The 27,299-nt window shown below is 45.5% G+C and overlaps 1 protein-coding gene and 1 long non-coding RNA gene across 13 annotated transcripts, besides 3 other annotated features; both read left to right on the plus strand.

Annotated features, from left to right (window-relative positions):
• Positions 11,065 to 11,930: an enhancer, noted in NCBI's record as "H3K4me1 hESC enhancer chr9:1046691-1047556 (GRCh37/hg19 assembly coordinates)". NCBI's record gives its function as "activates a minimal SCP1, AML or CMV promoter by ChIP-STARR-seq in naive H9 embryonic stem cells {active_cell/tissue: H9 hESC(naive)}" and the evidence as "EXISTENCE:reporter gene assay evidence [ECO:0000049][PMID:30033119]".
• Positions 12,334 to 12,521: a silencer, noted in NCBI's record as "fragment chr9:1047960-1048147 (GRCh37/hg19 assembly coordinates)". NCBI's record gives its function as "represses an EF-1alpha promoter that drives an FKBP-Casp9 reporter gene in an ReSE screen in phorbol 12-myristate 13-acetate-treated (for megakaryocytic differentiation) K562 erythroleukemia cells {active_cell/tissue: K562(+PMA)}" and the evidence as "EXISTENCE:reporter gene assay evidence [ECO:0000049][PMID:32094911]".
• Positions 12,517 to 13,015, plus strand: LINC-ADAIN (long intergenic non-coding adipose anti-inflammatory). The gene has a single exon (NR_110643.1). It is a non-coding gene; the product is annotated as a long intergenic non-coding adipose anti-inflammatory (long non-coding RNA).
• Positions 14,503 to 15,372: an enhancer, noted in NCBI's record as "H3K4me1 hESC enhancer chr9:1050129-1050998 (GRCh37/hg19 assembly coordinates)". NCBI's record gives its function as "activates a minimal SCP1, AML or CMV promoter by ChIP-STARR-seq in primed H9 embryonic stem cells {active_cell/tissue: H9 hESC(primed)}" and the evidence as "EXISTENCE:reporter gene assay evidence [ECO:0000049][PMID:30033119]".
• DMRT2 (doublesex and mab-3 related transcription factor 2) lies at positions 14,731 to 21,926 on the plus strand. 12 transcript variants are annotated; one of them, NM_001130865.3, is made up of 6 exons: positions 14,731 to 14,856; positions 14,994 to 15,149; positions 15,944 to 16,512; positions 18,096 to 18,198; positions 20,096 to 20,173; positions 20,590 to 21,926. In NM_001130865.3, exons 3-5 carry the CDS (start codon positions 15,988 to 15,990, stop codon positions 20,146 to 20,148), a joined length of 681 nt encoding a protein of 226 aa, NP_001124337.1. In that variant the 5' UTR covers positions 14,731 to 14,856; positions 14,994 to 15,149; positions 15,944 to 15,987; the 3' UTR covers positions 20,149 to 20,173; positions 20,590 to 21,926. The 12 variants fall into 12 exon arrangements, 11 of the variants coding, with proteins under 11 accessions (NP_001124337.1, NP_001357462.1, XP_016869703.1 ...); NM_001370533.1 differs by having other exon boundaries at positions 14,731 to 15,149; XM_017014214.2 differs by lacking the exon at positions 20,096 to 20,173.

Raw genomic sequence — 27,299 nt, forward strand, 5'->3', positions numbered from 1 at the left:
ACAGATTTGACCCACTAGGTCCATGATTTTTAATCTTTGGTGGGTATCCAAGTGCTTGGTTCCCACTTCAGGTCTGCCGATTCAAGCCTGCATGACAGAGTGAGAACCTGTCTCAAAAAAACAAAAAACAAAAAACAAACCCCAGACCTGCTGATTTAGTACCTGTATGGGTGCTAGACTAGGCACATTTTTTTGGGGGGGAAAAGGGGACCAAAATTTCATATGTGGCTTCCATGTTTTCCAGAAATTGAGAAACTCTGTCCTGGAGGGATGGGGTAGGTGCAGTATTTGATCCTTTGGGTATTGGTTTTTTTTTTTTTTTTTTTTTTTTGACAGAGTCTCACTCTGTCACCCACGCTGGAGTAGAGTGGCATGATCACAACTTATTGAGGCCTCAATCTCCCCCAGCTCAGGTGATCCTCCCACCTCAGCCTCCTGAGCTGCTAGGACTACAGATGCGAGCCACCACACCTGACTAGTCTTTGTAGTTTTTGTAAAGATGGGGTTTCACCATGTTGCCCAGACTGGTTTCAAACTCCTAGCCTCAAGCCATCTGGCCTCCCAACATGCTGGGATTACAGGAGTGAGCCACCACACTCGACCCTTGGGTATTGTTGAGGCTAATGGAGAGGCTGTAGTAACAAGACACTGTAGCCTGGATGCTGAGAGGTTGTATACTCTCAGGCCTCCATGCAATGTAGTTCCACCAGAGTATTGCTAGAAATAGGTTAATGGCAGCTAGCTTACCACTTATCTATGTAGTGCCACTTGCCAACAATCTATACCCAGGTTTTCAAATGTTAGCAATACTAAAGGGTGCACTTATACAGATGATATTGACCATTTCATATACAAATCATCTGTATGCAATTGTATATATTCAAATGTAACGTATGTTTGAGATTTCTGCCATTTCCATGAACAACGATTAAGAGAATGGGCTCTGGAGTTAGATCTACTTGGTTTTGGGTTCTAGGCCCACCACTAAATGATCAGATGTGTGACCTTTGGTATGTTTCTTAACCTCTGTAAGTCTATTCATTCAACTACAAAAGAGACAAGATGCTTGACTTAGAGCATGGTTTTGAGGAATGAATTAGATAATTTACTCATGCATCTGGCCTAGGTGAGTGTTCTATAAATATAGTAGTGTTTTTACACTTGATGGTAGCCAAAAGGCCAAGAAGCGATAGTAGTGTTTTTATTTTACACAAAATAGCTTGAGTGCTGGTTGGAGCTTAGACACTGACTGATATGAATGATACAAACTGCTTTAATGCTTTACACTTTGGTTTACCTATTAATATGTCACCTCCTCTAATCCCTAACGGTTCCCCATTTCCCTGAGAGTGTCTGCCCAAGTCCTCCAGGCTATATATGATCTGCCCCTCTCCACCCCAAACACTCACAGATCAGCACTGCCTCCTTTGTACACTCTGACCCAGCTGCACTTGCCCCTTCTCGTTCCTTAAACACACCAGGAACATTCCTCCCTCAGGGCCACTGCATTCCCTGTTTTCTCTGGCTGGAATGTTCTTCCATGAGATATCAACATCTCCTTTAGGTCTCTTATCGGTGAGGCCACACCCTCCTTTTAAAATTGGCTTGCACAGGGCAAAGAGTTGGGTCCAGGGCTTTTATAAACATTTAAAAAATTATAAATATTAACTTTCATATTTTATAAAATTGTATATTTTATACACACTAATTACTGCATGCTTAGCAAGCTTAGTTCAATCACCTGCCTATCACAGTCCCAAGTACACACAGATAGAAGCAAGGGCTCTGTGTAGTAAATTGCTTTGGCTGTCTTACCGCGGTGCTCATAAGTATGTTTTGCTTAGAAACTGCTCCACTGGCAAGGCATAACAATGAAGTTAAGCAAATGTTTTGCTGGTCTCTGAGGCCCTGTCAGGTCAGTGGACTACTGCTTATGTTTGTAAGAATAGTCTCTTCATGTCTATTTAGAGACATGGCCTGCTACCCAATTCCCCAAGCCCAAGTGATAAAGCGTTTTGAGTCTTTGAATTACTTAGCTTGTTGCCTCAGTTGCCTTCTGGGTGTTCTTCTGGTAACAGCCTATTTGATGGATGTGAATTTAATTTCTCAAACCCATTAGGATGATTTAGTTATGACTTGGAATCTTGGAATGCCATCAAATATGGCCTTTAAAAATTTAAGTAATTTTGTCCACAGTTGAATTAAGAAAAAAAAACAACTCACCTCATTGTATACAAAGAAAAGAAGCTCCTTCAATATTTTTCACTATTAAGTAGATTAAAGTGGTAAGAACACAAAAGTGAAAACAAACACATTCATAGAAATGCCTTTGAAAGCCCCTTAGGATCTGTTTTCACAGAGAAAATGAATGTTAGAGTATTATATGTAGCTTTTCCCTCCATTCTGGTTTTCCTGTAAGCAGCTGCCCAAAATTTCAACATGACTACTGAGACTTAGTAGGGCTGACTTGAATTGAGATTAATTACTTCTTGGTTGGATGAGATGCCCAACGAAGGTGGGACTGGGATCAGGGTCTGTGAGAATGAATATTAAATAACACAGTAGCATAAAGCAAGCAGCATCACGTGGAATAGCCCTTGCCTGTTACTCCTGAACAATCCAATGCATCTGATAAATTACACTCTCAAATTCCTTTGTTAGGATGTTGTAATTACTGACTAATTAAAAAATAGTCTAGTTTGGTTGTCTTCATTAAAAATTTTGCGAACAATTAATAAGAAATAGAAATTAAATGGTTGGTACTACTCAGATATCTCCTTTCCCAAACCAGGTACCACAGCGTTAGTCTTTTTCATATCAATTTAATTGGTTTTATTCATTTCAGGAAACTAATTTTACAACAGAAGTAAAGCTTTTAAATACAATTTCTGATACATATCAAGTATGAGAAATTTGGCTAACCAAACTTTAATGCTTTATAAACATGTAAGCAAAACCAAATGTGAGATCAATCCCATTAGGATGTAAATTTATCAACATTTCTAGACAAAATCCCACAGTTAAGAATCACCATCTTCCCAGTAAATGCCATTTACACACAATGTGAATTTTTAGCTGAATATTCTAAAATTTCTAGTTTCTTATTTTGTATTTCTGTGCACAACACAGGATAATCAGAGTTTCTTTTATTTCTCTGTGCTTTCTTTTTTTTTTTTTTTAAAGAGGAGTTGTTTAAAAAACACCAGCAACATAAACAACAAAAACGTTTCCTGTGGCTGTGATAAAAACATTGCATTTATCTGAGCCTACTAAATATATATGCCCCTGTAGCAATGAATGCTTATTATAATTATTGAACCTCAGAGAAATGGAAACAATTCTGCCATCCTAAATCTTTAATAAATGTTGTAGAATCTATAAAGTGATTTAAAATTACTTTCACTTTTTACTATTTGGTAACTTTCAAAGCTTCAAACGTCTTTCTCATTGCAGGCTTATTTTCCTCTTTCAATTTTTAATTATTAACACACAGGAATCTAGGTTTTAAAACCAGTGTATGTTAGCTCCCTCAAATAACTTAAGAATTAGTTTATTCAAGCTTTACTAAAAAAATGAAATTGCTGGAGAGCTGAGTTTCTGTGTGAAAAATTTCACCCAGAAAGACAGTATTTTTGGAAAGGAGTGAAAACAGAAGCTTTGAATGGAAGTGTGTGCGTAACTATAAATGGAGGGCAAAAAGGTTGTAACTGACAGGTCCCTTCTGTGGTGCAAAAGTCACCATTACAGGAACGTTAAGCTACCTAATATGCAGTTACTCTACTTGGGTCTTGAAAAACATTTGGAATTCAGGAACTGGGATCTTGCAGCCAGAAAAGAAAATTAAAACATATGTTAAGTGAGGAAGTTTATTGACTTTTAAATATTTTATCTTCAGCCAGGAAAAGACAGAAAGATTAAAAAAAAAAGTTTTAAAACACCAACAATCTGCAGGGACAAATAAAAAAAGGAAAACATTCTAATGAAACGCTGCATCTGGTTGACATTTAAATAAAGCTGCCAGAGTATAAACTAATTTTAAGACAACTCTAGTGACACATTTTTAAAAGAGAGTGCAGGAAAAAACTTTTGGCTGAGCAAATCTTAACACCACATGTACGGGAGCCATCAATATTCATTACCCTATAGATTTGCCAAACACCACAAAGTGTCTGGAAACATTACAAGAGTGCCATGACTGGAGACTTGATTATGTGCTTTCGTATATTGAACTGTATACCGAGGTCAGATCTAGTTCTTTTGGAAAAGATAAGCCAAATCTACTGACTTCATGACTCTTAAGTGGATGAAAGTTGAGTGTGCAGATGTCTGCATGAATTGTGCAAACTAGGGTGAAGAAAAACTGTAGAAAACAAAACAACAATCAAAACTCTGTTCTTTGAGATCCTGGGAGGTTGCCTGTTAACATGAATGTGATGGAGTTGAAGAGGTCTTAGGCTGGGCTCAAGAGGTGTTTTTACTCCTGGGCAAAGTGTAAGGCTCTAAGTGGAGAGGAATACAACAGGTGTGTAGTTCTAAAGCCAGGGCTGAGATAAAGTCTCTGCTAAAAGAACGAATTCTAGATCCTTAACAGCGTTAACAATCCTAAACCCTTTGAGGGAGTAATTATTGTGAGTTATGGAGGAAATTTCCCAAATTGGTTAGAAAAACTGCATAGAGTTCAGATTCTAGACTCTAGAATTTAGGGTTATGACTCACCCCTGCTACTTATATCTTTGTCCCTAGTCTACTGGCATCAAGCTGGGCTCTCAATGAGAATCTTGCCCAGATGATTTATCACGAGTTTGTGAGTTCTAGAAAGTATCAGATCTGAGGTCCCAAAAATTCCATTCAATTGGTATAATTAAATCTTACCAACTCAATAAATGGGGCTGCAGGTTTTTTGCTTTTGTTTTTGTTTTTTTTGAGACAGGAGTCTTGCTCTGTCACTCAGGTTGGAGTGCAGCAGTGGTATGATCATGGCTCACTGCAGACTCAACCTCTTGGGCTCAAGTGATCCTCCCACCTCAGCCTCCCGAGTAGATGGGGTTACAGGTGTGCACCACCATGCCTAGCTAACTTTTGATTTTTTGTAGCAATGAGGTTTTGCCATGTTGCCCAGGCTGGTCTCGAACTGCTGGGCTTAAACCGTCTGCCCACCTCAGCCTCCCAAAGTGCTGGGATTACAGGCATTAGCCCCCGCTTCTGGCCAGCTGCAGGTTTTAATAGACAGAAATGTAGTGGACGTTCTGAAGAATTTTTCTGAGCAGGGATGGGCAGAAAGATGGGTCCATTATAACTGTCGAATCTGGTTAACAGATATATAGATATTACATACCCATATGGATATATAGGTATGGAGGTTACTCTACTGGGTTATAGTAATGGATATTATATTACTGGTCTACTTTTGTATATTGTTAAAATTTCCGTAATTAAAAGTATAAGTAATATAAAAGAAAACAACCCAGCTTATAGTTCCAGCTGGAAACCAGCCTTAGCTGAGTGAGGTAAGAGTTGAAGCTGGACTCATCCTTTCTTGCACAATAACAGGGTTTCCTCTGAAGAGAAATGAAAAGCATTGAATCAACGTGCTTATTTAGAAAGCGTTTATTACCTTGCTGCATCCCTCTTCCTCTTCAAAGTGAGAATGACATTTCCTTTCCAGTGCTTCCACAGGGAAATAGAAATCTGTGTAAAAATTCCAGAGCTTTGTTCCTCACTGGCCACAAGGGAGGTTAGGCACTGGATTTCTTATATGGCTGATGAAGGGAACATAATGGCAGCTTCATTTTAGAAAAGGGTATTGCTTGAACAATAATTAATAAACCAGCACCCATATTTCCCTTTGTGGCCTTTCCCAGACTTGTCTTATTTGATCTTACCAACTTGTTACTCAGGGAGTGAGGTTCCTGATTAGAAAGCAAACTAAGTAAGAAAAGAAGTCTCATTCATACCTTATGCTTTAAATGCTTTCTTATTTTCAAAGAATTCCAATTGCTTTTTTTTTCATTTGGAAATCAGGAAGCCATTGACATAGGCAAGAAAAAATATTTATTATGTTCATTTTACAAATGAGGAGACTGAGGTTTAGAGAGGTTAAAGGAATTTTCCAAAACTTCACAAGTGCTCCAGGAATGATTTGGTGTCTTTTATGTTTTCAGAGCCCAGGCTTCCTGTGTTCTATGCAGTGTATAGATTTGTCTTTGGGTTATTTCCTATACCAAACTTTAGTCTTTCTCACTGGGTACAAAGGGAAATTCTAAAATTCTGTTCCCCATGGAAAAATGTCCTTTGCTCCTCGGGGCAGATTCTGCAGGGAGAGACTTGCAAATATGAAGGAGGAGTGGAAGGTGTGATCGGAGAAAATACCAAGGACTGAAGTGTGAAGGGGTATGGGATGGATTGGAGGCAGTTCTGAGATGAGAGCCTGCTGAATTCGTGTTCCGGGAGATCAAGTTGGCTTCTTCTGGAAAAAACCTGTAAGCTTGGGAAAGCTGGGATTGGCTTCCATCACAAGCAGCTGGGATCTAAGTTCATTTGCATCAGGGCCACTCCAGCTCAGTTCTGCTGGGAACCGTACCGGGATGGGTGTGGGACGGCCTCGAATTCAGATCCGGGTGCTGTTTTTTCTAGGCAGTCTCTCGGAGCCTGCTTCCTGGACTACAAAATGAAGAGTTGTGAAGAGTCAATAATGTCAAGTTGGAAGGGTCTGACACGGAATCTGACCAAGGCTGGACCCTCAATAATTGTGATTTCTTTTCCCCCTTTTCCTTCTTGGTAAAATCATCCCACGAATCTACGCAAGTAGGGCCCTTCGTCATTCTTCGGAGTAGCCGCTTGAGGGCTGGAAGGAGCAGTGATAGAAACCCCAGAGACGCAGAGACCCTCCGAACTTCGAACTCGATCACTGTCCTCCCCCGACCGCCGAACCCGCTGGAGAAGCGGGCGCGACAGGGCGATGAGTTAACGCGGAGGGAGCGCGGAGGCCGCGGAAGCCGGGGGCGCTGGGTCTCAGGCCCGGATGCTGAGCGCGGACCGGCGTGTCCTCCCCACAGCGCCCCCGCGCGGCCTCCTCCCGCTGCGCCCCGCACGGCGACCCGCCGCGGGTAGCCCTGGCGTTTGGCCACGCCGTCGGCTGAGGACCGCTAGAGCTGGGGGGAGATCAAAGCATTCCTATGGGGCCCAAAGAGCCTGGGATTGCAGTGTTGTTAGCCTGGCCTCGCCGCGTCAATAAATTTTCGGCGAAAGTTGGGAGCAGGAGTGGAGGCTTGGGGCGGGGGTTGGTGGGGCGCGGGGGTTGGCCGGAGGGAGGGTCCGGGGGTTTCTTGCACCTGCGCTCCTGCCGCGTTAAGTCAGTGGGAAGCAAGTGACATTTCCCTTTCACCCGCCCCCTTGGAACTTGCTCATCTCCCTCCTTTAGAACACCGCCTGCTCTCCGGGGTCAGCATTATCAAAGAGAAGATTTCCTCCAGGCCCTTAAAATTTACGTGGCGCCTTGTTACAAGGAGCGCGCTGGAAGCTGGCTTTGGTATCTCCTTGTCCCCTCTTTCTCCTGCCCCGCCCCCACATCCCCGTGGAGAAACCCCCGAGCAGGCCTTTTGCATTTTCTCACCCCACTTAGAACTACAAAAAATATATGGGAAGGTGATTTGGTTTCACTTCAACCTCTTCATTTTGCAGAAGCCTAAAGTGGTGATGGTGAGAAAAGTGGCCCAAGGTCAAGGGTTACTTCAGTTGGCAAAACCAGGAGTAGAACAGGAGAATCCCTAGAGTCTTACTATATATTTTTTGCTACTTATTTCATGGACAAAAATAATCATTCTCTTAGGCAGGTCAAGTACTCTTTAAAGGTGTCTGTGCTTTTGCCAGTTGGCTGCAAAACTTAGCATCACACTTGTCACCTGGACATCATGGGGAGTCGCTGGCTATCCAACGACAGAGCCGAGTACACTCTGATCCCTCCTCTGAGACACTCCTTTCTCACTCCCACTCCATCCTGAAAAACACTATGGAGCATGTGTTCTGGGCAAGTCTTCTCCCAGGCGTGGGTAAAATTTGAGCACAGGGATTCTTCTGGCATAATTGGGGGGAATCCCTCCTCCAGCAAGAACACTTTTCAGAGGGATCTCCTGGGGCTAACAGGAAAGGCAATATTTCAGCCCTCCACAGAGCTGAAACTCAGACCTCAGAGTCAGCTTCGCACAGGACAGGGCTAAGGAAGCCTGGTAATTTTTGGCTTAAAGTCCAGTCAGAATGAACCTGACCTAGAAGCCACAGGATCATGGAACCTTTGTGACTTGTGGCAACCTTCTTTGTCACTTGGATGAATCCTATTGGATCTGGGCTCTAGGAAACTGAATCTTTTGTGAAACTACTCCATGTCCCATCGTTTCCCTAGTTGATAGATTCCACCCACCCCCTACATTTTTAACTAGGTAAGATTAATAGCAGTAGCATAGAGGAGCAAAAATATCACCAAAATGTCAAAACCAATGCCAAAGCTTGTTTCTAATTCCCCACACGCCACCTTCTTTTCCTTCTCCTCTCCTCCTCCTGTCCAGCTTGGACTTTCTTCATACCCTTGATCTTGCTACCTGAGCAAGCAGTCCATCAGATGGGAGTTAAGATTTGTTACAGTCTTTAACGTTTGAGGCAGAACCTAGAAATCAATGTACTTCCCTCCTTCACTTTACAGTCAAGGAAGCCCAGGCCCAGGAAGGTGGAAAGATTTGCTGAGGGGTTCATGCACATGGAAGAAGTTAACTTTTCATCACAGCACCTGCCTTGCCAACACTTGGCAATCCCCCCCCCGCCCCGCCCCGCCTTGATTCCTCTCTACCTGGTTGTTAGACTGCTGGGAAAATATGGAGAGTGATTTCAGTGTGGATAAAGCCTGCCCCCTTGAAATGTAAAACCCCAAAATAGAATGGGAATAGGGAGTGGAAAGTTCTCAGAGTTAAGGGTTTACTGTTCCAGTTAGTCGTGAGGACCCCTAGGGGCTGCAAGAAGGCTCTCGGGGGTGAAGAGCTGTGTGTCTCCTGATGTGGCAACCAGCCACATGCCCTCCCAGGACTGCCTTCCATAGCAAGGCCACAGCCCCGGGGGTGGAACCCAGGCCCCAGTACAGCCCACGGTATCTGCCTCCCCTGAGGACCATTTGGAATGGGTACTGAGAAGTCAAGAAAGTCTGCAGTTGCCTCATCTCCTGGCTGCTACCAGCCCCCCAAGGGAATTGAGCCACGTTTCCCAGCATGGAGGATGGAAGCTGCCGGGGGTTGGGACAGGCGGGCTGGCAGATCCTCCAGATAGATATGCTAGGAAGGGACGATTACTTCATAGTCGGCGTCTGACTCCGTATCCCGCTGCAAAGAGCACATTTAAAAAGACGGTATGAGGCAGGGAGCTGGAGGTGCTCTTTGACCCCGCACAGCCACTGTTTTAGCTGTGTGTCTCCCAGCAACTCCCATGAGCTTCTCCGAGCTTCAGTTTTTCCTTTCCTTTGTAAATCGGAGCAGGGAAAGGGAGGATTCTTTTTTTTTTTTTTTTTTTGGTTTTTTTTTTGAGACGGAGTCTCGCTCTGTCGCCCAGGCTGGAGGGCGGTGGCGCCATCTCGGCTCCCTGCAAGCTCCGCCTCCCGGGTTCACGCCATTCTCCTGCCTCAGCCTCCCGAGTAGCTGGGACTACAGGCACCTGCCACCACGCCCGGCTAATTTTTGTATTTTTAGTAGAGACGGGGCTTCACCGTGTTAGCCAGGATGGTCTCGATCTCCTGACCTCGTGATCCGCCCGCCTCGGCCTCCCGAAGTGCTGGGATGACAGGCGTGAGCCACCGCGCGCGGCCGGAAAGGGAGGATTCGAACAGCCTGGCGGAGAGAATTGTCTCCCGCAGTCTCCACTCCCCACCCCCATGGCTTGCGACGGGTCGCGTATTTGATTACGCAAAGTAAGTTGGGAAATCCTATGTCCGCAATCCCATCTGGGATTATTTATTTCGCCGCGTCCGCAGCCGGTGGAAGTCGTGAGACGGTGCAACGCTGAGCGGCTTTCCGCAGAAGGAGGTGCCTTCGAGGCCGGCTCTGGAGGAGCCACAGCCAAGCCGGCCACAGCAAAGCACTTCTCTCGGGATGCTCAGACGTTTTCAAATGCCGGTCGCCACCCTGGGCGCTGGCGGCAGGTTGACTTAGCCACAGGCGACTTAGGCTGCAGGTGGAAGGCGAGGATTCCCGCCGGCCCCCAGCCTCCTCTGCAGGCCTCCGAAGCTGGAGAGTTGGGTGGAATAGGGAGGAAATCGGGCTTCGGATGCCCCCCAGCCTCGGGCGCTCTGCAGGCTAGCTCACGGAGTTGAAACAACCACAAAAATGATACAAATTACGCGCAAGCACTGAATGCTCAGTGTGGGCGGGTCACCGTGCCGGGGCGTCCACGCGCGTCGCCTCCTCTTAGGTGGCCTCCATTCTGCAGTTGGGGAAAGCGAGGCGCAGAGGAGGGTTAAGGGACCTCCTCACTGTCCCGGCCAGGGAGGGGCGGATCCGCACTCCAACCCGCCTCTGTCAGGCTGGGCCTCTAAGCCGGGCCGTCCGCGCAGAGTCCGGGCGGAGCTGGGGGGTGTGGGGGGAATGCTCGGGGCAGGATCCGCTCCCGCGATTAGCTCTGGGAGCGAAGTGGGAAGGGGCAGGGCGGGGCTGCAGAAGTCGGGACCCTCGAATGGGATCCGAGCCCGTGTGGCTACGCGAGGGGGAAGCCACCTGGGCTGCGTGGCTCCGGGGCGAACTGGGTGGGATGGGATTCGTAAAAAGAACTGGGTGGGTGAGAGGGAGCCAGTTTGAAACTCACTTTCCTCCTTTATTTATTTTATTTTTAAATTTGTGGCAGGGTGTTTGAAGAAAACAAGAAAACCACCCTCATCCAGGAAACAACAACAACAAAGAGTTTTCTCTCTCTCTCTCTCTCAGTCTCCAGGGTCTCACTCCTGTCGCCTAAGGCTAGAGTGTAGTGCCGCGATCTCGGCGCACCTGCGGCCTCGACTTCTCAGGCTCAAGCGATCCTCCCACCTCAGCCTCCTGAATAGCTGGGACTACAGGCGCATTCCACCACGCCCGGCTATTTTTTTTGTATTTTTAGTAGAGACGGGGCTTCGTCCTGTTGTCGAGGTTGGTCTCGAACTCCTGGCCTTAAGCAATCCACCCTCCTCGGCCTCCCAAAGTGCTGGGCCTCCTTCTTTTCTTGTTGAGGTTCCCATACGTGACTCGCCCAAAGAGAGATTCTCACCGGGTGGGTCTGAGCAGCGCCAGAAAGGGAAGGGATACAGGGTGAGAGAGATTTGGGGTAAAGGGAGAGGGAGGCAGAGGGGGAAGGGGGCCCCAGGCCGGTCAGTTCCAAGAGGCGAGCCCCGCCGGCCGAGCTCCACGGGCTGAGTCAACAGCGGCCCAGTTGCTTTGTAATTTACAAGAGGGACTCCGAATGGTACTTTGTAATTTGGTGTCGGTTTACAAGGCAAAGGACTTCTGTTTCCTCACCTCACCAGGTCCTCAGTCACGGCCTGACCCCTTTTAAGAGAGGGACCTCAAGAGGGGAGCTGAATTCCTTGAGCCCTCGCCTTTCAATCAAGTTTTCAAGGCACGCTTTGGCCGGGCCCTCCCGGACTGGCTGTGCTGCTACCTCCAGAGGAAATCAACGTCTGTACCGAACTCCTAACCTGTGAAGACCTGCTGTCCTCATAATTGCGGAGTGGGGCCAAGGAAGGCTACTCTTTCCCCTTTGCAGATGAGGCAACTGAGGCAACTGAGCCGCAGAAAACTAACTGACCAAGATCACCCAGCCAGTGGAACAAACAGCTCGAGCCCAGGCTCTCTGGCTCCTATTCCCTCTGAATATTTAATTTACTAAACTGTTTGAGCAGCCGTAGATTCCCTTCACAATCCGGTAAAATCTATAATTACTCCTCCCCTTCCCCAAAATGTACTTATTTTCCCATTCAATATCGGAGCTTCTCGGACTTCCTGAAGTTAGTCCCAGGATAAAGATCCTCTTTCTCCTCCCCCTTGCCCCGCCCCACGACCTCGCTTCCCAGTAATTGCTGGGATCCCGATTCTCTGGAGGCATTCCGGGCGGATTGATTGAGTGTAATTCAACTGAGTTATGATTACAGCTGCTGGTTCCCCTGTGCCGCAGACGGGTGTGTAGGGAGGGTGGGGCACGTGGAGATGGGCAAGATGTCTGGAGAGAGCAGTGGGGCTGTTGTGCACGTTTTTGCTAGAGGTGAGGGTTGAGAGCTAGGGAGGAAACAATTCCGAGCCCACCCCGCTGGGACCCACGGGCTGAGGTCCTCCAGGAAGCACTGGGGCTCAGCTTTCCCTATGTCAGTACGGATGGAGGACACACAGGAGGAAGGCTGGTGGCTCTGCCGGAACATTCTGAGGGCCTTGTTCTCTGCCTACGCTGGGACCTGCAGTCCCATCTCCCATTTGGCCTCAGCCAGCGTGGTTTATTGTACCCAAATCCCGCTTGTTTCCTCCTTATGCAGCAGTTTTAAAATTTCGAACTAGTTCAAGAGCTGCTCGGCTGCTCGTTTACTTTCAGTTTTGGGAACAGAGGCTTACACCCCTTTCTCCTCCTGTTTCTCCTCCAGTCCCTCTTCCCCTCAATCTAGTTTCCCAAAGTTAGCAAACCTACTTTCTTGATTTTGTTTCTTAACATTTAAAACAACTGGTGAAGGGCTAATGATTTCATCTCCTTACCACCACCCCTAACCTTAAAAGCAATAAATAAAATAAAAGCCCAGCCTGCCAACCGCATGCACACACGGCCAGCGGTGGTGGGGGTTTGTAGTTTGCATACACGTCGCGGGGCAGAAGCCTGTTTGCAAAGGCTGAAATGTAGCTAGCAGGGGAAGACGCTGAAAAAACAGAGTGATTTGATAAAAACGTGCTGGGCCCTGTTACAGGAGGGCTGCTGGGAGTAGTCCCAGGTACTCACATCAGAAGGGGTGCAGGGGAATAAAATTTAAAAAAGCAAACCCATGGCGAGTCTTTCTTGCTGGGAGTGAGGGGCTCTGCAAAATTTCTGGGACTTCAGAACAGAGGTCGACAAGGTCCATTGCTCTTCCCGAGACTACTGGGTGATCCAGGGCTCCTCTCTGAACCTCAGTTTCGTCGTTGGAAAAACGGGGATAGGAACATATTTCTGTTGCTGTCAAGAATTTAAACGCTCCAGTGCAGGTGAAGGAAATGTGCTTTGATGACTGGGTATAAAAAATGTGCAAAAAGAACCTGGCGTTACAAGGTGGTGTCAAGGGAGAGGAAGTAAAAGTCTGTATGACCTCCCTGTCGCTTGTCGGAGCGCGCACCGCTCCCAAGTCACCCTCTGAGTCGCCAGAGCTACCGAAAAGCCGATGGGAATAAGCAGGACTGTTTCTCTACTTCCTTCATTGGGCTTCGCAAGAGGCTCTGGGAAGAAGCACCCGTACAAATGGGAATCCCAGTGCCTGGTCACCGGGGAGGAACTTTACAACATCACTGAAGGTTTGAGAATAGTGCTTCTGGCTGGTCGCGGTAGTTCCTAAGCTGCCTTTGTTCCCACTTCTCTGATCCAGGTTAACTTTTAACATTCTGACAAACTCGGACAAAAGTAACGTTGGGATTACGTCAGGAATTCCCACCCTTCAACAAATATTTGTTGCGGGCCTACTATGTACTCAGTGCAATGATACCCAATTTTGTAGTCTCCTAAACAGATCCTACTCGAGAGGTCTTGATTATTTACAGATGCAGTTAGAAAAGCGCCCATATTATTTTTAATTGAGTTCAAGAAATAGAATGCAGCGTTGAATTAGAAGACTAATTCCTTCTTTTAATATGTTGAAAATTTTTTATCGTTAAACATTTTGTAAAGGATTTTTTGAGGGAGTCGTTAGAAAGTCTATAAATACAACTACGCACACTAAAAAGTAGTCATCTTTTTAAAAATAACTTTGTTTAAATGCATGCTTAGTGTGAATGGATTTACCTAATTCTCTTAATAGCATGCATTTCTGATCTTCCCTACATTAACTGTAATAGCAACTGATATAACAGAAAAATGTAAGTGACTTGTAGTCGACTTGGCCACCTGCCACACGGGCTCGGTGAAGGTTAATGAGGAGCTATTTGGCACTTCGAGAATAGGTGGCACTAGACACAGAAATATCAACAGGCTATTTGTATGCTAACTAGGAGTTTCGGTGCCAGGTAACCATTGATGTACTCTTGCAGGAGAAAGAAGGATGTCGCTGTACGCCCCGAAAGAGAGGCATCATTTTTACGCCCAGTTTGGATTAATGATTGATTGAGTCGCAGAAATGCTTGTGATGCTGATAGAGGCCAATACTGGTCTTTCTGATCTCTTCCTCGTCGTTTATTACCTTCTCTTGTGGACAACGCATTCCTAAGAATGTATCTCTGCTTGTTTCCCAGTCCGCGAGATAAATGGTGACTTCTCTCTTGCAGGCACCGTCATACCTCGGGTTTAGATTCTGGACAGGCGAGCCGGCTGCACCGAAGGCCCGGTAGGCGGACTCTGGCGGAGCGCTTCAGAGAGAAGAGTGTAGACCGCGGGAGGCGGAGGGCTCCCTGCCAGCGTGCCTCGGCCAATCAGTATTCACACCGCCTGACAACCGGCCAATCAGAGGACGTAAAGCTCCGGGGCCTGAGCGGACAGTACTAGGAAGGGGAGCGCAGTCTGCAGACTGAAGCCAGTGGCGCTGCGCTGAATGCAACTGCGCGCGCCCGCCGGGTGAGCCAGCGATCTGAGCCAGGCGGGGGCGGCCCGACCTTTCCCGCCCAGCCTGGGTCAGAGGAAGCCGAAAGCGGCCTCAGCAAGGTGAGGCGCCCGAGGCTGCAGAAGACCGAGCAGAACTTTGCAGAGTTCGGGATGTGCTGGGCTAGGTCGCTGAGGACTTGACTGGCTTCCTCCCTCCTTCCCTCCACCTACCTTCTCCCTCCCCCTCCACCATCCAGTGGGTTCGTTCCGGGCCTCCAGCTATCAGCTCCCGATCTCGTGTTTGAGGGTAGCGACCCCGATTTCTGTTTGCATGCACAGCCAGCAGCCCTAGCGCCAGATCCTAAAGCTGGATATCTTTTAACTGGGCTACCAGCCCGGGCCTCAAAGTTTTGGTGAGTGCTGTGATGCCGCTCGGGGTGTCAGGGAGGGCAAAGGGCGTGAATCATCTTTCACCTTTTCTGTGTGACTTGGATGCCTTACCTTAAATATATAAACCAAGGCCTAAGTACAGAGAGCCCACGCGGCTCAGCCCTGTGCACCTCAGGTACTATTAAGGCTGGACGGGCGTCTGTATTGTGCTCTTTGCCCTTATGGGACGCTAATGACAACAAAATTTTGGTTTTCAGTTGAGTATTTTGGGGAGGGGGGTGAGAGGACCTCTTCAAGCCCAAGGAGGGGTCCTTGTGGTGGTGTAGGCTGATGAGAGGCATTTGGGAAGCATAGAGTGGTACTTCAGTGAGTCTGAAGGGCCACTTGTAATCAAAGGAAAACTGTTCTTCCACGGATAGTTTTATATGCATCATGGCCATACTAGTTGAGTATGGGGAAATCCGACAAGTGGCCTGGGGCTGCCTATTTGGACACAATATTTTGTGTGTGTGTGATAAGTGAGTTACCCAGGGACTTGTCCGGAAAGCCCGTGTAAAGCCAGAGAGGGCCACGGTTAAAGGTCAGGTACTCACAGAGCACTTAGAATTAATAAAATAAAACCTTTGTTGGGTTGTGGATCCCTGGGGGCCCTGGAGATACAGGAAAGGCACGTGTGGCCTGGAAGTGAGGGACATGTAATGAGAACAGGATGACTCAAGCGGCCGGAGGCGGGCAGACCAGGAGCTTTGGGCCGGAGGCTCAGGGATGGTCCCTGACGGCGGCCGGTGGGTCTTTGGATTTCTTTGTGTTTCCCCAGAGTGAGGGCCGCCAGGCTCAGGCCCCAGCGAAGCCCCGAGCGCCATGGCCGACCCGCAGGCTGGCTCCGCGGCCGGGGACTGGGAGATCGATGTCGAGAGCCTGGAGCTGGAAGAGGACGTCTGCGGGGCGCCGCGGTCCACGCCCCCCGGGCCCAGCCCGCCGCCGGCGGACGGGGACTGCGAGGACGACGAAGATGACGACGGGGTGGACGAAGACGCGGAAGAAGAGGGCGACGGCGAGGAGGCAGGCGCGTCCCCCGGGATGCCCGGCCAGCCGGAGCAGCGGGGGGGACCGCAGCCGAGGCCGCCGCTCGCGCCTCAGGCCTCACCCGCCGGCACCGGTCCCCGAGAGCGCTGCACTCCCGCGGGCGGCGGCGCGGAGCCGCGCAAGCTGAGCCGCACGCCCAAGTGCGCGCGCTGCCGCAACCACGGCGTGGTGTCCTGCCTGAAGGGCCACAAGCGCTTCTGTCGCTGGCGCGACTGCCAGTGCGCCAACTGCCTGCTGGTGGTGGAGCGGCAGCGCGTCATGGCCGCCCAGGTGGCGCTCCGGAGGCAGCAGGCCACCGAGGTGCGTACCCGCCCGGCCCGGGCGTCTCAGGCCACAGTGGAGGTGGGGGAGTTGGAGGGGAGCGGGGCGGCCGTCCACACCCCCCGCGCCCAGGGCCTTGCGGTGCCTGGCACTCCCTAGGAAGGATGGTAAGAACGCTTTTCTGCTTGCACTGGCGAGCAGGGTCGGGAGGGAAAAAGCAGGCATCTCTGGGGAACTTGGGAAATGTTTTTGTCTTAAAAAGCAGGCAGAGAGGCCTTGAAAGTGTTTAGGCCCATTTGGAACATCGCGAGAAAATCAATGTTTTTATTTTTTTGCATTTTAAAGTGCATTTTCGTGGTGTTGAGGGCGGGGGCTTGGGGGGAGAGTGGTTGATCCACAGCACGGCGTGCAGCTCCAGGCTCGTCACTGCTGTACTGGTGATGATGGAGAAAAAGAACCACGCAGCACGCATGCGCTCGGTGCTTCAGCTGTCACCTGGACGTTTGAGATATCTAGAACACTCATTTTATGGATGAGACACAAAATGCATGAGAAATTAGATGCCTGCAGCCCAAGGTCATCAATCCGAAGCTACTGTCCCTGCAAACTACCTAAGAGCAAGGGGAGGGTCTCTGCTGCTTCCCATCGGAGGACTCCAGCTGCGAGGAGAGCCAGGGCTTTCTTTCCGAGAGACGCTCTTGAACCTTCGATTTTGTATTTGTTTCCATGTGCGCCTGGACAGGGAGAGTTCAGCGAGCGAGGCTTCACAGGGCCTCCTCCCAGACTCAGGACCAGGGAAGACTTTCAATTTTACTTTTTGGCGGAGAGGAGCTGGGGAGTGGATCGCCAGACACACTGAAGGCAGTAACCCCACTGGAAAGCCTCTCGAGGGCCCAGGAGAGCGCGCTGGACGCCATGGGCACCTGGTCCTGGGCTTGGTCTCCTCCCGCGTCCCGCATGGGTCATCGCCTGCCCTGCGTTCCCACGCGTTCTCTGTAGCATATGCTGGGTAGGACGCGGGCGTGGGAGGGCCCAGAATCCCACCAGCTGGTGGGATAGGTGACTGCAGAGGCGAGGGTGGGTGTCCGCAAAGCGCAAATTTGGAGTTTGCAGCCGGACCCAGGAGACCCTCATCTCTTCATTCCCCTATCACCCCACCCTGCCTGCCCTGCCACAGGGAGAAATCCGCCCGGCCTCACTGCTTCACAGCAGGCCTTGGGCACCTTCTATCCGACAGGTGGGCTCCCAGGACCCAGCCTGGCTGCAACCATCTCTTGAGGTCGGGTGCCCCCCTGAAAGGGATTTCACTTTTTCACTTCCCTCCGGGATGTCCCCTCACTTCTGGCCATAGGTCTGCGTATATCTAGAGTGATTAGAGTCTAGAGTGACTATGCTGCGGAAAGCAGGGGATCCAGCTCACCAGCTGAGGTTCCAGCTCCTTGCCCTAGGATTAAGGGGTGCTGATATTAATTCGTTTGTAATTATTTTTCACACGGAATGGGAAAATTCAATACATTTAGAAGGGGGAGAGTTTCTAGAAGATTTACGGACATCCCGTCCTTCCCCCTTCTCGCCCCCATTTTCTTTCAGGGCATTATTGATGATGTTTCTTGTGTTTACAGGACAAGAAGGGGCTTTCCGGGAAACAGAATAATTTCGAGCGCAAAGCTGTGTACCAGAGGCAAGTCAGAGCCCCCAGTTTGCTGGCCAAAAGCATTTTAGAAGGTAAAGCAACAAAATTATCCTTCAGCCTTTTAAACAGAGTTGAGTGACTCTCATTAATCAGCACAAAGTGTGTTTATTAATCTGTGAAAGAGCTATCTAAAGGGAAAGTACTTTTTATTAGAAAGGTTTTGTTTAGGTGTTCGCTGAGCCCGTACGCTAAAACTGAACCCGTACGGAGAAGATTAGCATGGCCCGGGAACCAGAAAGTTTTCTTCTAGGAAGGAAACCGCCACCTGGGAAAATGAATCTCACATACCTCCTGAGGTTTCTGTCACCACCAGTTGAAGAATCCCTATTATTTGGTTGTCTGCTTAGTGGTTAATCGGTTAATGTGGAGTGCATGTGAAATTTACCCCGTATGAGGGATGTACAAAGATATACTGCCAAGTGATCCTGGAGCAGATGTCTTGGAAGGAAATAAATAACTTAAACAAAGCAAAACAAAACAACACAACCACGTCCACTTTTCTTAGTTGTGGGAGCTGAATAGATGAAGTCAAGTGAGGAGTTTAACAGCTGCTCGCAACCAGTAAAGCCGTTTAGTCTGGAAGTTCAACCTCAGATTCCGCTCTTTTTCATTGTACTTTTTTTTTTTTTTTTGGATTACTTGGATAATTCCTATTATTCCAAACTTCATTTTTACCATTTTTTGACAGTCAAGGTTATAGAATCTGAAAAAGGTTTCGAATCCAGCAAGCGAAGTGGAGGTTGAATGCGAACAGTGCGAAATCTCTAGCTTTCTGTCTCCATGTTCTCACTTTCGTGAAAGCCTGGGGGTACATTAATTTTTCTTAAAATATTACTCATTTTTAAAAGCATCTCTATTTGGGTATGGAATTTATTTATTGACCTCAATAATATATTGACTATTTTTAACCGTTTCTCTTTAAATTTTTAAAAATTTAAATAAGGGACAATTAATGTTTGCTTTAATCACTGCCACTTCATGAAATTCAGGTTGAAAGTAAACAAAAATTTTTAAGTAGACATTTGGATTCTGTTTTTTTCTTGTGTAGCTTCTGAATTTTGTTGGTTCTGGACAGGTTTGTGTGTGTCCTATAAAAATTTTTAAGTAGACATTTGGATTCTGTTTTTTTCTTGTGTAGCTTCTGAATTTTGTTGGTTCTGGACAGGTTTTGAAGTTTGTGTGTGTCCTATCATGTGTTGTATACTTCTGACCATAGAGTGGTTTCTTATGAATTAAAAATGAATTTGGTTACAAACTGGATAAACAGATTTATAATAATAGGGCCACATTGATAAACTGAGATTATGCAAAGCAACTTGTGAAGTCTGAGGACTAAATGGAATAGTAAATTCAACTAAATAACTTCCTGGCAAAAACTTATCATAGAAATGTAAACATTAATTTTCAAATTTTATTTTATTTGCAAATGAGTATAATGGGTTTGTCACTATGTAAACACAAATATAACAATGGATGCTTCAAACAAATATGACAGAGGTGAGTGCTTGGGGGTGATGAAATACTCCAAGTATTTTATGCCTCCAGGAATTCTATTTATGTTACACTAATCTTTGTATTTGAGTTTGCTCCTATTCGTGCGATGACTTAGCCTGTGTTTTAATGATTGCTTGTTCAACCATTTTGGTATCCGGCCAAAATGATTAGAGCTTGGGAAGAATGTTTCAGAACAGTTATTTTCGATAGAGCAGGGAATACTCCCCGCCTTTTTTGAGTTTTGTTTTATTTTATTTTATTTTTTTTTGTAGTGGTATCAGGGGAAGGGGCCTGGTTAAATTGTTCACTGTAGAGTGTGTTTGACTAGTTAACAGCTCTTTTCAATTTTCTATGCTTCTCTATTTTCTTAAGCCTTTTTTTTCTTTTTCTACTCGCTAATCTCCTTTAACTTTCTTTCTTTCTCTTTTTTCCTAGTTCTCCTTGGATTATTCTACAGCTATTATGTGTACATAATGAACCATCTTTAGAAAATAAAAGTGACATCAGCTCTAGGTATAGATATATTTTTTAATAATGAAAAAAGATGACATGGATAATAATAAAACATTGATTGATACAAGATAAATAGTCTTGTCTCTTAATGCGTAGGGGGCCTGGGAAGAATATTAAAATTTTAATCAATAAAGTATGTCTGTTGAAGCAAGCAAGCAAACAAATCCATAACAACCACAACAAGCAACAAGAACAAGAACAACAACAAGAAGAAGTTGCAGTATGGATATCTTTCACCCTCCCAGGAAACTCTTTCAAACCTAATCTGTACTTTTGCATCTGTATAAAAATATCAGTGAGATGGAACTGTAAATAATTGTTCTGCTGATCTGTAGTGTTGCTGTTACCTTCTGGGTTTCCACATTTTTATTCCGTAGATGTTAATCTCTTTCATGTGCAATCTTTGCTTCTTGTAGGCTATCGCCCCATTCCAGCGGAGACTTATGTAGGAGGGACCTTCCCTCTACCTCCCCCAGTTAGTGACAGGATGAGGAAAAGAAGAGCCTTTGCTGATAAAGAGTTGGAGAACATTATGCTGGAGAGAGAATATAAAGAAAGGGAGATGTTGGAAACTTCTCAAGCTGCTGCTCTGTTTCTGCCCAACCGCATGGTGCCTGGACCTGACTACAATTCCTACAAAAGTGCCTACAGCCCCAGCCCAGTGGAACCACCAAGCAAGGACTTCTGTAATTTTTTGCCCACCTGCCTTGATTTAACCATGCAGTATTCAGGGTCTGGGAATATGGAACTAATTTCTTCTAATGTCAGCGTGGCCACAACTTATAGACAGTATCCCTTGTCCTCAAGATTTTTAGTTTGGCCCAAGTGTGGCCCCATTAGCGACACCCTCCTCTACCAGCAATGCCTGCTAAATGCCACCACCTCAGTTCAAGCCCTGAAGCCTGGGGCCAGCTGGGACTTGAAGGGAGCACGAGTCCAGGATGGACTCAGTGCAGAGCAGGACATGATGCCATCGAAATTGGAAGGTTCCCTGGTGCTGCCTCACACTCCTGAGATCCAGACCACGAGAAGTGACCTTCAGGGTCATCAGGCTGTCCCAGAGAGGTCCGCGTTCTCCCCACCCCGACGGAATTTCTCTCCCATTGTTGACACGGACTCCCTGGCAGCTCAAGGGCATGTCTTAACGAAGATCAGCAAAGAAAACACCAGGCACCCTCTGCCACTTAGACATAATCCATTCCACTCATTATTCCAGCAAACACTTACTGACAAATCGGGTCCTGAGTTGAAAACACCATTTGTCAAAGAGGCCTTTGAAGAGACCCCTAAGAAACACAGAGAGTGTTTAGTTAAGGACAACCAGAAGTACACATTTACAATAGATAGATGTGCAAAAGACCTTTTTGTAGCCAAACAAGTTGGAACAAAACTCTCGGTGAATGAACCACTGTCATTTTCTGTTGAGTCTATTCTTAAGAGGCCTTCATCTGCCATCACTCGTGTCTCTCAGTGAAAGGCTGCTTAAACAGAAAGCTGGATTTTCTGCAGTCTTAGAGCATTATAGCCATTTGCTACTTTTTTTAAAAGTTAAGATGTTTGTGTAAAGAAATTTCTAATGTAAAGATGATGATTTTGAAAAATTTTATATATTCCTAATATGCATGTACTTTTTCTTATCACATATATTTAAACTTACAGATGGAAATTGCCCAATGTGCAAATTGTTAAGTACCACACTTTACACAGCATTTCAAAAAGCAATAAAATTGACACTGTCTTCTCAAAGACCCAATATTTGCCGAAGCAAATAGCTGTCTCTGTCTAGATGAAGAAGCTATTTTTCTATGATTCTGTATATTTGTATATTTTGAAGTACTCTTAATGGTCACTGGGGGCCACAGGAAAACCTTTATAATACTTTAGTTTTGCATTGTGGAGGGCACATAAATTTAATTATTCGAGACTGTTTGAGGCAAAAATCACTTTAAGGAGAACATAGGGCCATTTGCATGTTTACAGTATCTTCATTTCACGTGATTGGACAAAGCTGAATTAATTGGAAGGGAAATCAAGTGTAATGTCTCTTTTACATTACATTAGATGGTTTGGGTTCTTGGAATAGATTTCTTCTGACTCCCTGGGTCCCAGTTTCTTTCCCTGGCGAGGATGTTTATGTGGGGCCCTAAGCTTCCTTTCTAGAAACATTTCTAGTTTCTTTGAACAGTCTATGATTTTAGGTTGCTAGGAGCCACAAATCAGGTTTCCTTTTAAGATGTGGTCAGTACTGATGGGGCCCAAACCTCCTCTCAGCTCTTGTGTGAGTCCACTGTTTCTGAATCACTGGTGACAGCAGGCATTTGGATGCAGGCCCAGTCACAACTCTCATCCGGTCCCCAAGTATCAGCTTTATGCCTCCCACATTTGCACCACTGTCAAAGGCCTTCAGTGTAACTCTCTTCTGACACAAAAACGTTTAGTATTCAGATTGCTTCAGCTGACAGTTGCTGAAGCTTGCAGATGTTTATCACAGCATGAGGGTGGCTTCTTAATTCTTACACCTTTTCTCCCCCCACCCCCCCTTTTTTTTGAGACAAGGTCTCACTCTGTCGGCAAGGCTGGAGTGCAGTGGTGTGATCATGGCTCACTGTAGCCTCGACCTCCCCAGGCTCAAGTGCATGCCTGTAGTCCCAGCTACTCAAGGGGCTCCACCTCCCAGGCTCCACCTCAGCCTCTTGAGTAGCTTGGACTACAGGCATGCACCACCATGCTTGGCCAATTTCTAAATTTATTATTATTTTTGGAATATGTGCAGAGGTAAGTTTTTAAAAATTTTGGTAGAAACAGGGTCTCCCTATGCTTCCCAGGCTTGTCTTGAACACCTGGTCTCAAATGATCCTCGTGCCTTGGCCTCCCAAAGTGCTGGGATTACAAGCATGAGCCACCACACCCACCATTTCTCCCATTTTTAAGTTCTTGTTAATCTCTTGTTTTACTCAGTAAAATGTTAGCTGTTGTTCCATATAATTGATAAAATAAGAGTAAGACTTTTATGAGAGTACTAAGTTCATCTCTTAAGACCTCACCTGTGGACCCCAAGTGAAGTTTAAGGTGTCATAGTCATTCTAATACAAAAAATCAAGAGTCACGTATCTCACTTTTAATACCGCCACAGAGGGAGGTTTTACGTCAAATTCTGCTACTGTCTTCTGGGTAACAAGAACATGAGGTGGGTATGTGGAAGATGCCAAGTGATTCAGCAGTGTGAAAACACTTTGAATTACTTAGAAATGATTTTGCTACTAATGACCTCATGTAAACCTCCTGGGATTCTCTGAATTGTTGCTTAAAATTAGCATCAATTTCAAAAAACAACAAGCCAAACCTTGGGTTGACTTTCAGTTTGTACTTGTAAAATAATACTTGGTTTTATTGAGTCAAATTTAGTTATTTGTATTATTGCAAAAGTCAGAGTGAATGGACGTTTGCCAGAGGCAAAGGATTTGAAAACAGGCAGAGATTCCAATAACTTTTAAAGATTATCATTAAGCGGAAAAATGTTTTCCAGCCAAGTGTGCCCTGATGTCAGAGACAGAATCTAACTCCAGTTTTCCCTCCCAGTCGTCTCTGCTTTGTCTATAATCACTAATTTTTGTCTTTCTATTGGAAATTTACTTTTTTGTTTCAAGTGTTAAATGTATCCTTAGCATTTAATTAAACTGCTTCAAAGGTAATGAGGGGGAACGTATTAGAATAAAAGCACATAAAAAATCTCAGTGAGAGGTCTTCTCATCTAAACATGAATTTTATCTCTTGCTTGCTCCACTTTTGTGTTTTGAATACTTATATTTGTTAAGATGTTTCTCTTTTGTATTCAGTGAACACATGGGGACTTCTTTTCGGTCCTCTCTCTCTGTATCATTTTAATCCCATTATGTGAATCCAGTTGGCTGTGGGTATTAGTGGTTTTTCTCACATTACCAGTGACCAGAATTTTATTGTTCTTGAACATTTATGAGGGTCACTACTTCCCCTGGCAAACTTATTATTATACTATGAATTAGTTCTGCTGTAATGAGTTCTTTGAATTTTAAAACTACCAAAGGCCGGGCGCGGTGGCTCACGCCTGTAATCCCAGCACTTTGGGAGGCCGAGGCAAGCGGATCACGAGGTCAGGAGATCGAGACCATCCTGGCTAACAAGGTGAAACCCCGTCTCTACTAAAAATACAAATAATTAGCCGGGCGCGGTGGCGGGGGCCTGTAGTCTCAGCTACTCGGGAGGCTGAGGCAGGAGAATGGCGTGAACCCGGGAGGCGGAGCTTGCAGGGAGCCGAGATCGCGCCTCTGCACTCCAGCCTGGGCGAGAGAGCGAGACTCCGTCTCAAAAAAACAAACAAACAAACAAACAAAAAAAACTACCAAATCTACCGTCAGCCACTTGTTAAGAGCTTTGTGCTTGGCTCTTTGCTTTTGAAAATCATTTCACTTCCATGAACGTGTCATATAGAATCTTCAGAAAACACTGCCATTGACATTAAATCAAACTTGGGATTCGATTTAAGCATTTTCTCTATCGAAGGCAATAAATGGATACAGTTTTAATAGTTTTCGAGAATGTAAAGGATAGTAAAACGTGGACATTTTTCTCAATTTAACTCACAATACAATAATACAACTCTAATGACATGTTATCCTTCCATCTCAACCCATCAAGCATGATCGTTAGCTGAATTTGCAGTTCTCGAAAGTTTACAACAGTGCTTCTCAAACTAATGGACAATTGAACCACCTGAGAATCCCGATGCTGCTGGGCTTCAGGCCACACTTTGAGTAACAATGCTTGCAGCATTTCTGGTATTTCAACGCACATTTAATATTATCTGCTGTGGATTTTGAGTTGTAATGCAATCATCATAATATTACTAGCATGAGTAAGTTAATATACAGAAATAGTTTTAAAAAACCAAATTTTTTTTTTTTTTTTTACGGAGTATCGCTCTGTTGCCCAGGCTGGAGTGCAGTGACGTGACCTCAGCTCACTGCCACCTCCGCCTCCTGGGTTCAAGCGATTCTCCTGACTCAGCCTCCTGAGTAGCTGGGATTACAGGTGCCTGCCATCACGCCAGGCTAATTTTTGTATTTTTAGTAGAGACGGAGTTTCACCGTTTTGGCCAGGCTGCTCTCAAACTCGTGACCTCCAGTGATCCACCTGCCTCAGCCTTCCAAAGTGCTGGGCTTACTGTTGTGAGCCACCACGCCTGGCTGCCATTTTCCTTTTTACTGAGCCTAGGCCAAGACCCAGGCAAGTCATGCAGCAGACAGTGCCTGCTCCCCACCGTCTCTTTTTTTTTCTCACAAAGGTAGAAGTTGTTTTAATTTGGTTAAAAATATAATATGTATCTTTTATTTTTAACTGTGGGAAAACATAAAATTTGCCATCTTAACTATTTTGAAGCATACAGTTCAGTGACATTAAGTACATTCACATTGTGCAGTCATCACCACCGTCCATCCACATAACGCTTTTCATCATGCAAAACTGAAATTCTATACCCTCAGTAACTCCCTCCCCTCCCAGCAACCGCCTTTCTACTTTCCGCTTCTGTGAATTTGACTACTCTAAGTACCTCATAAAGGGCAATCATACAGTATTGTGTTTTTTCAGTACCTCATACAAGTAAAATCAGACATTATATGTCTTTTTGTGACTGGCTTATTTCACTTAGCATAATGTGCTCAAGGTTTATTATGTTCTAGCATGTGTCAGAATTTTCCTCCTGCTTAAGACTGAGTAGTGTTCCACTGTGTTTGCGTGTGTTTGTATGTATATGTGTGTATGTCTGTGTGTTTAAGCTGCTTCAAAGGTAATGAGGGAAAGCCATTAGAATAAAACCACATAAAAAAATCTCAGTGAGAAGGCTTCTTAATCTAAACATGAATTTTGTCTCTTACTTTCTCCATTTTTGTATTTTGAATGCTAATAGTTGTAAGATGTTTCTCTTTTGTATTCAATGAACGTATGGGAATTTCTTTTCTGTCCTTTCTCTCTGTATCATTTTAATCCCATTAAGGGAATCCAATTGGCTTATTTTACTTATATGAGGTATTTTCCTTATGTAAGGTACTTTTCCGACTCCAAACTAATCAATTAGGTAAGTTATATACACACACTGTATATATATGTTATACATATATATACACACACACTATATATATGTATATATATACACACAGACACACACATACATAAATACACACACAAACACAGTGGAATACTGTGCGTATGAGTGTAAACGGTGTACATGTAGACATATATACATACATACACATGTGTTTATATGTATATATACACACATACATACACATACAGTGCATACACACACATACATTTTTGTTTATCTGGTAATCTGTTGATAGACACTTGGGTTGAATCCAGCTTTCAGATATTTTAAATAATAGTGCCATGAACAAGGATGTCCAAATAGTTCTTTGAAACCCTGCTTTTAGCTCTTTTTGGTATGTATGCCCCTTCTCTTCACCCTGTTCTCACTTCCGAGTTTCACCTGCTTCCTGTCCTTAGGAACTGAGTTATCTCAGGTATACAGTCCTCCCAACTATCCCCTCTCCTGCAGTGTGTGGACCATTTCCACTCAACACTGTTGTTGCCCAGAAAGGCTCCAGTATCAGTTGTGTACCTTTTAGTATGAGCTTAAATGATATCTTCATTTAAAAGCTTAATTCCAATTGTGTAATGAAAGACTGTAACTTGTATTAACAAACTTTCTGGAATTCCTTCTGCAAAGCCTCAGAAGTGCTAAACTGAGAAAATGGCTGAAGGTCAAGATGAAGAAATAAGGAGAATCCACGCTTCCTTGTAGAATAATGGATAAGACTTAGTGTCGAGGCTGAGTTTTCAATAGGGACTAGAATTCTTAGTGGCTCACCTGATTTCATTAATTTTGGATTAATTTTAATATTCCTATTCTATGTCTATAAACTTAGGCTTGTTTCCATGGGTAGGGTCCAATTTGTAGGGCTGATAGTTCATGAAATGGTTGGACCTTGCATTATATAAACTTGGGCCTTTGGCATCCTCTTATATTTATTTTAATAATTATACAAAGCTTTTATCACATTCCACCCCCTTAGTTCTTTTAGTTTGTAAC

This window comes from Homo sapiens, chromosome 9, assembly GCF_000001405.40.
Source record: "Homo sapiens chromosome 9, GRCh38.p14 Primary Assembly".
In the NCBI taxonomy this organism is placed as follows: domain Eukaryota; kingdom Metazoa; phylum Chordata; class Mammalia; order Primates; family Hominidae; genus Homo; species Homo sapiens.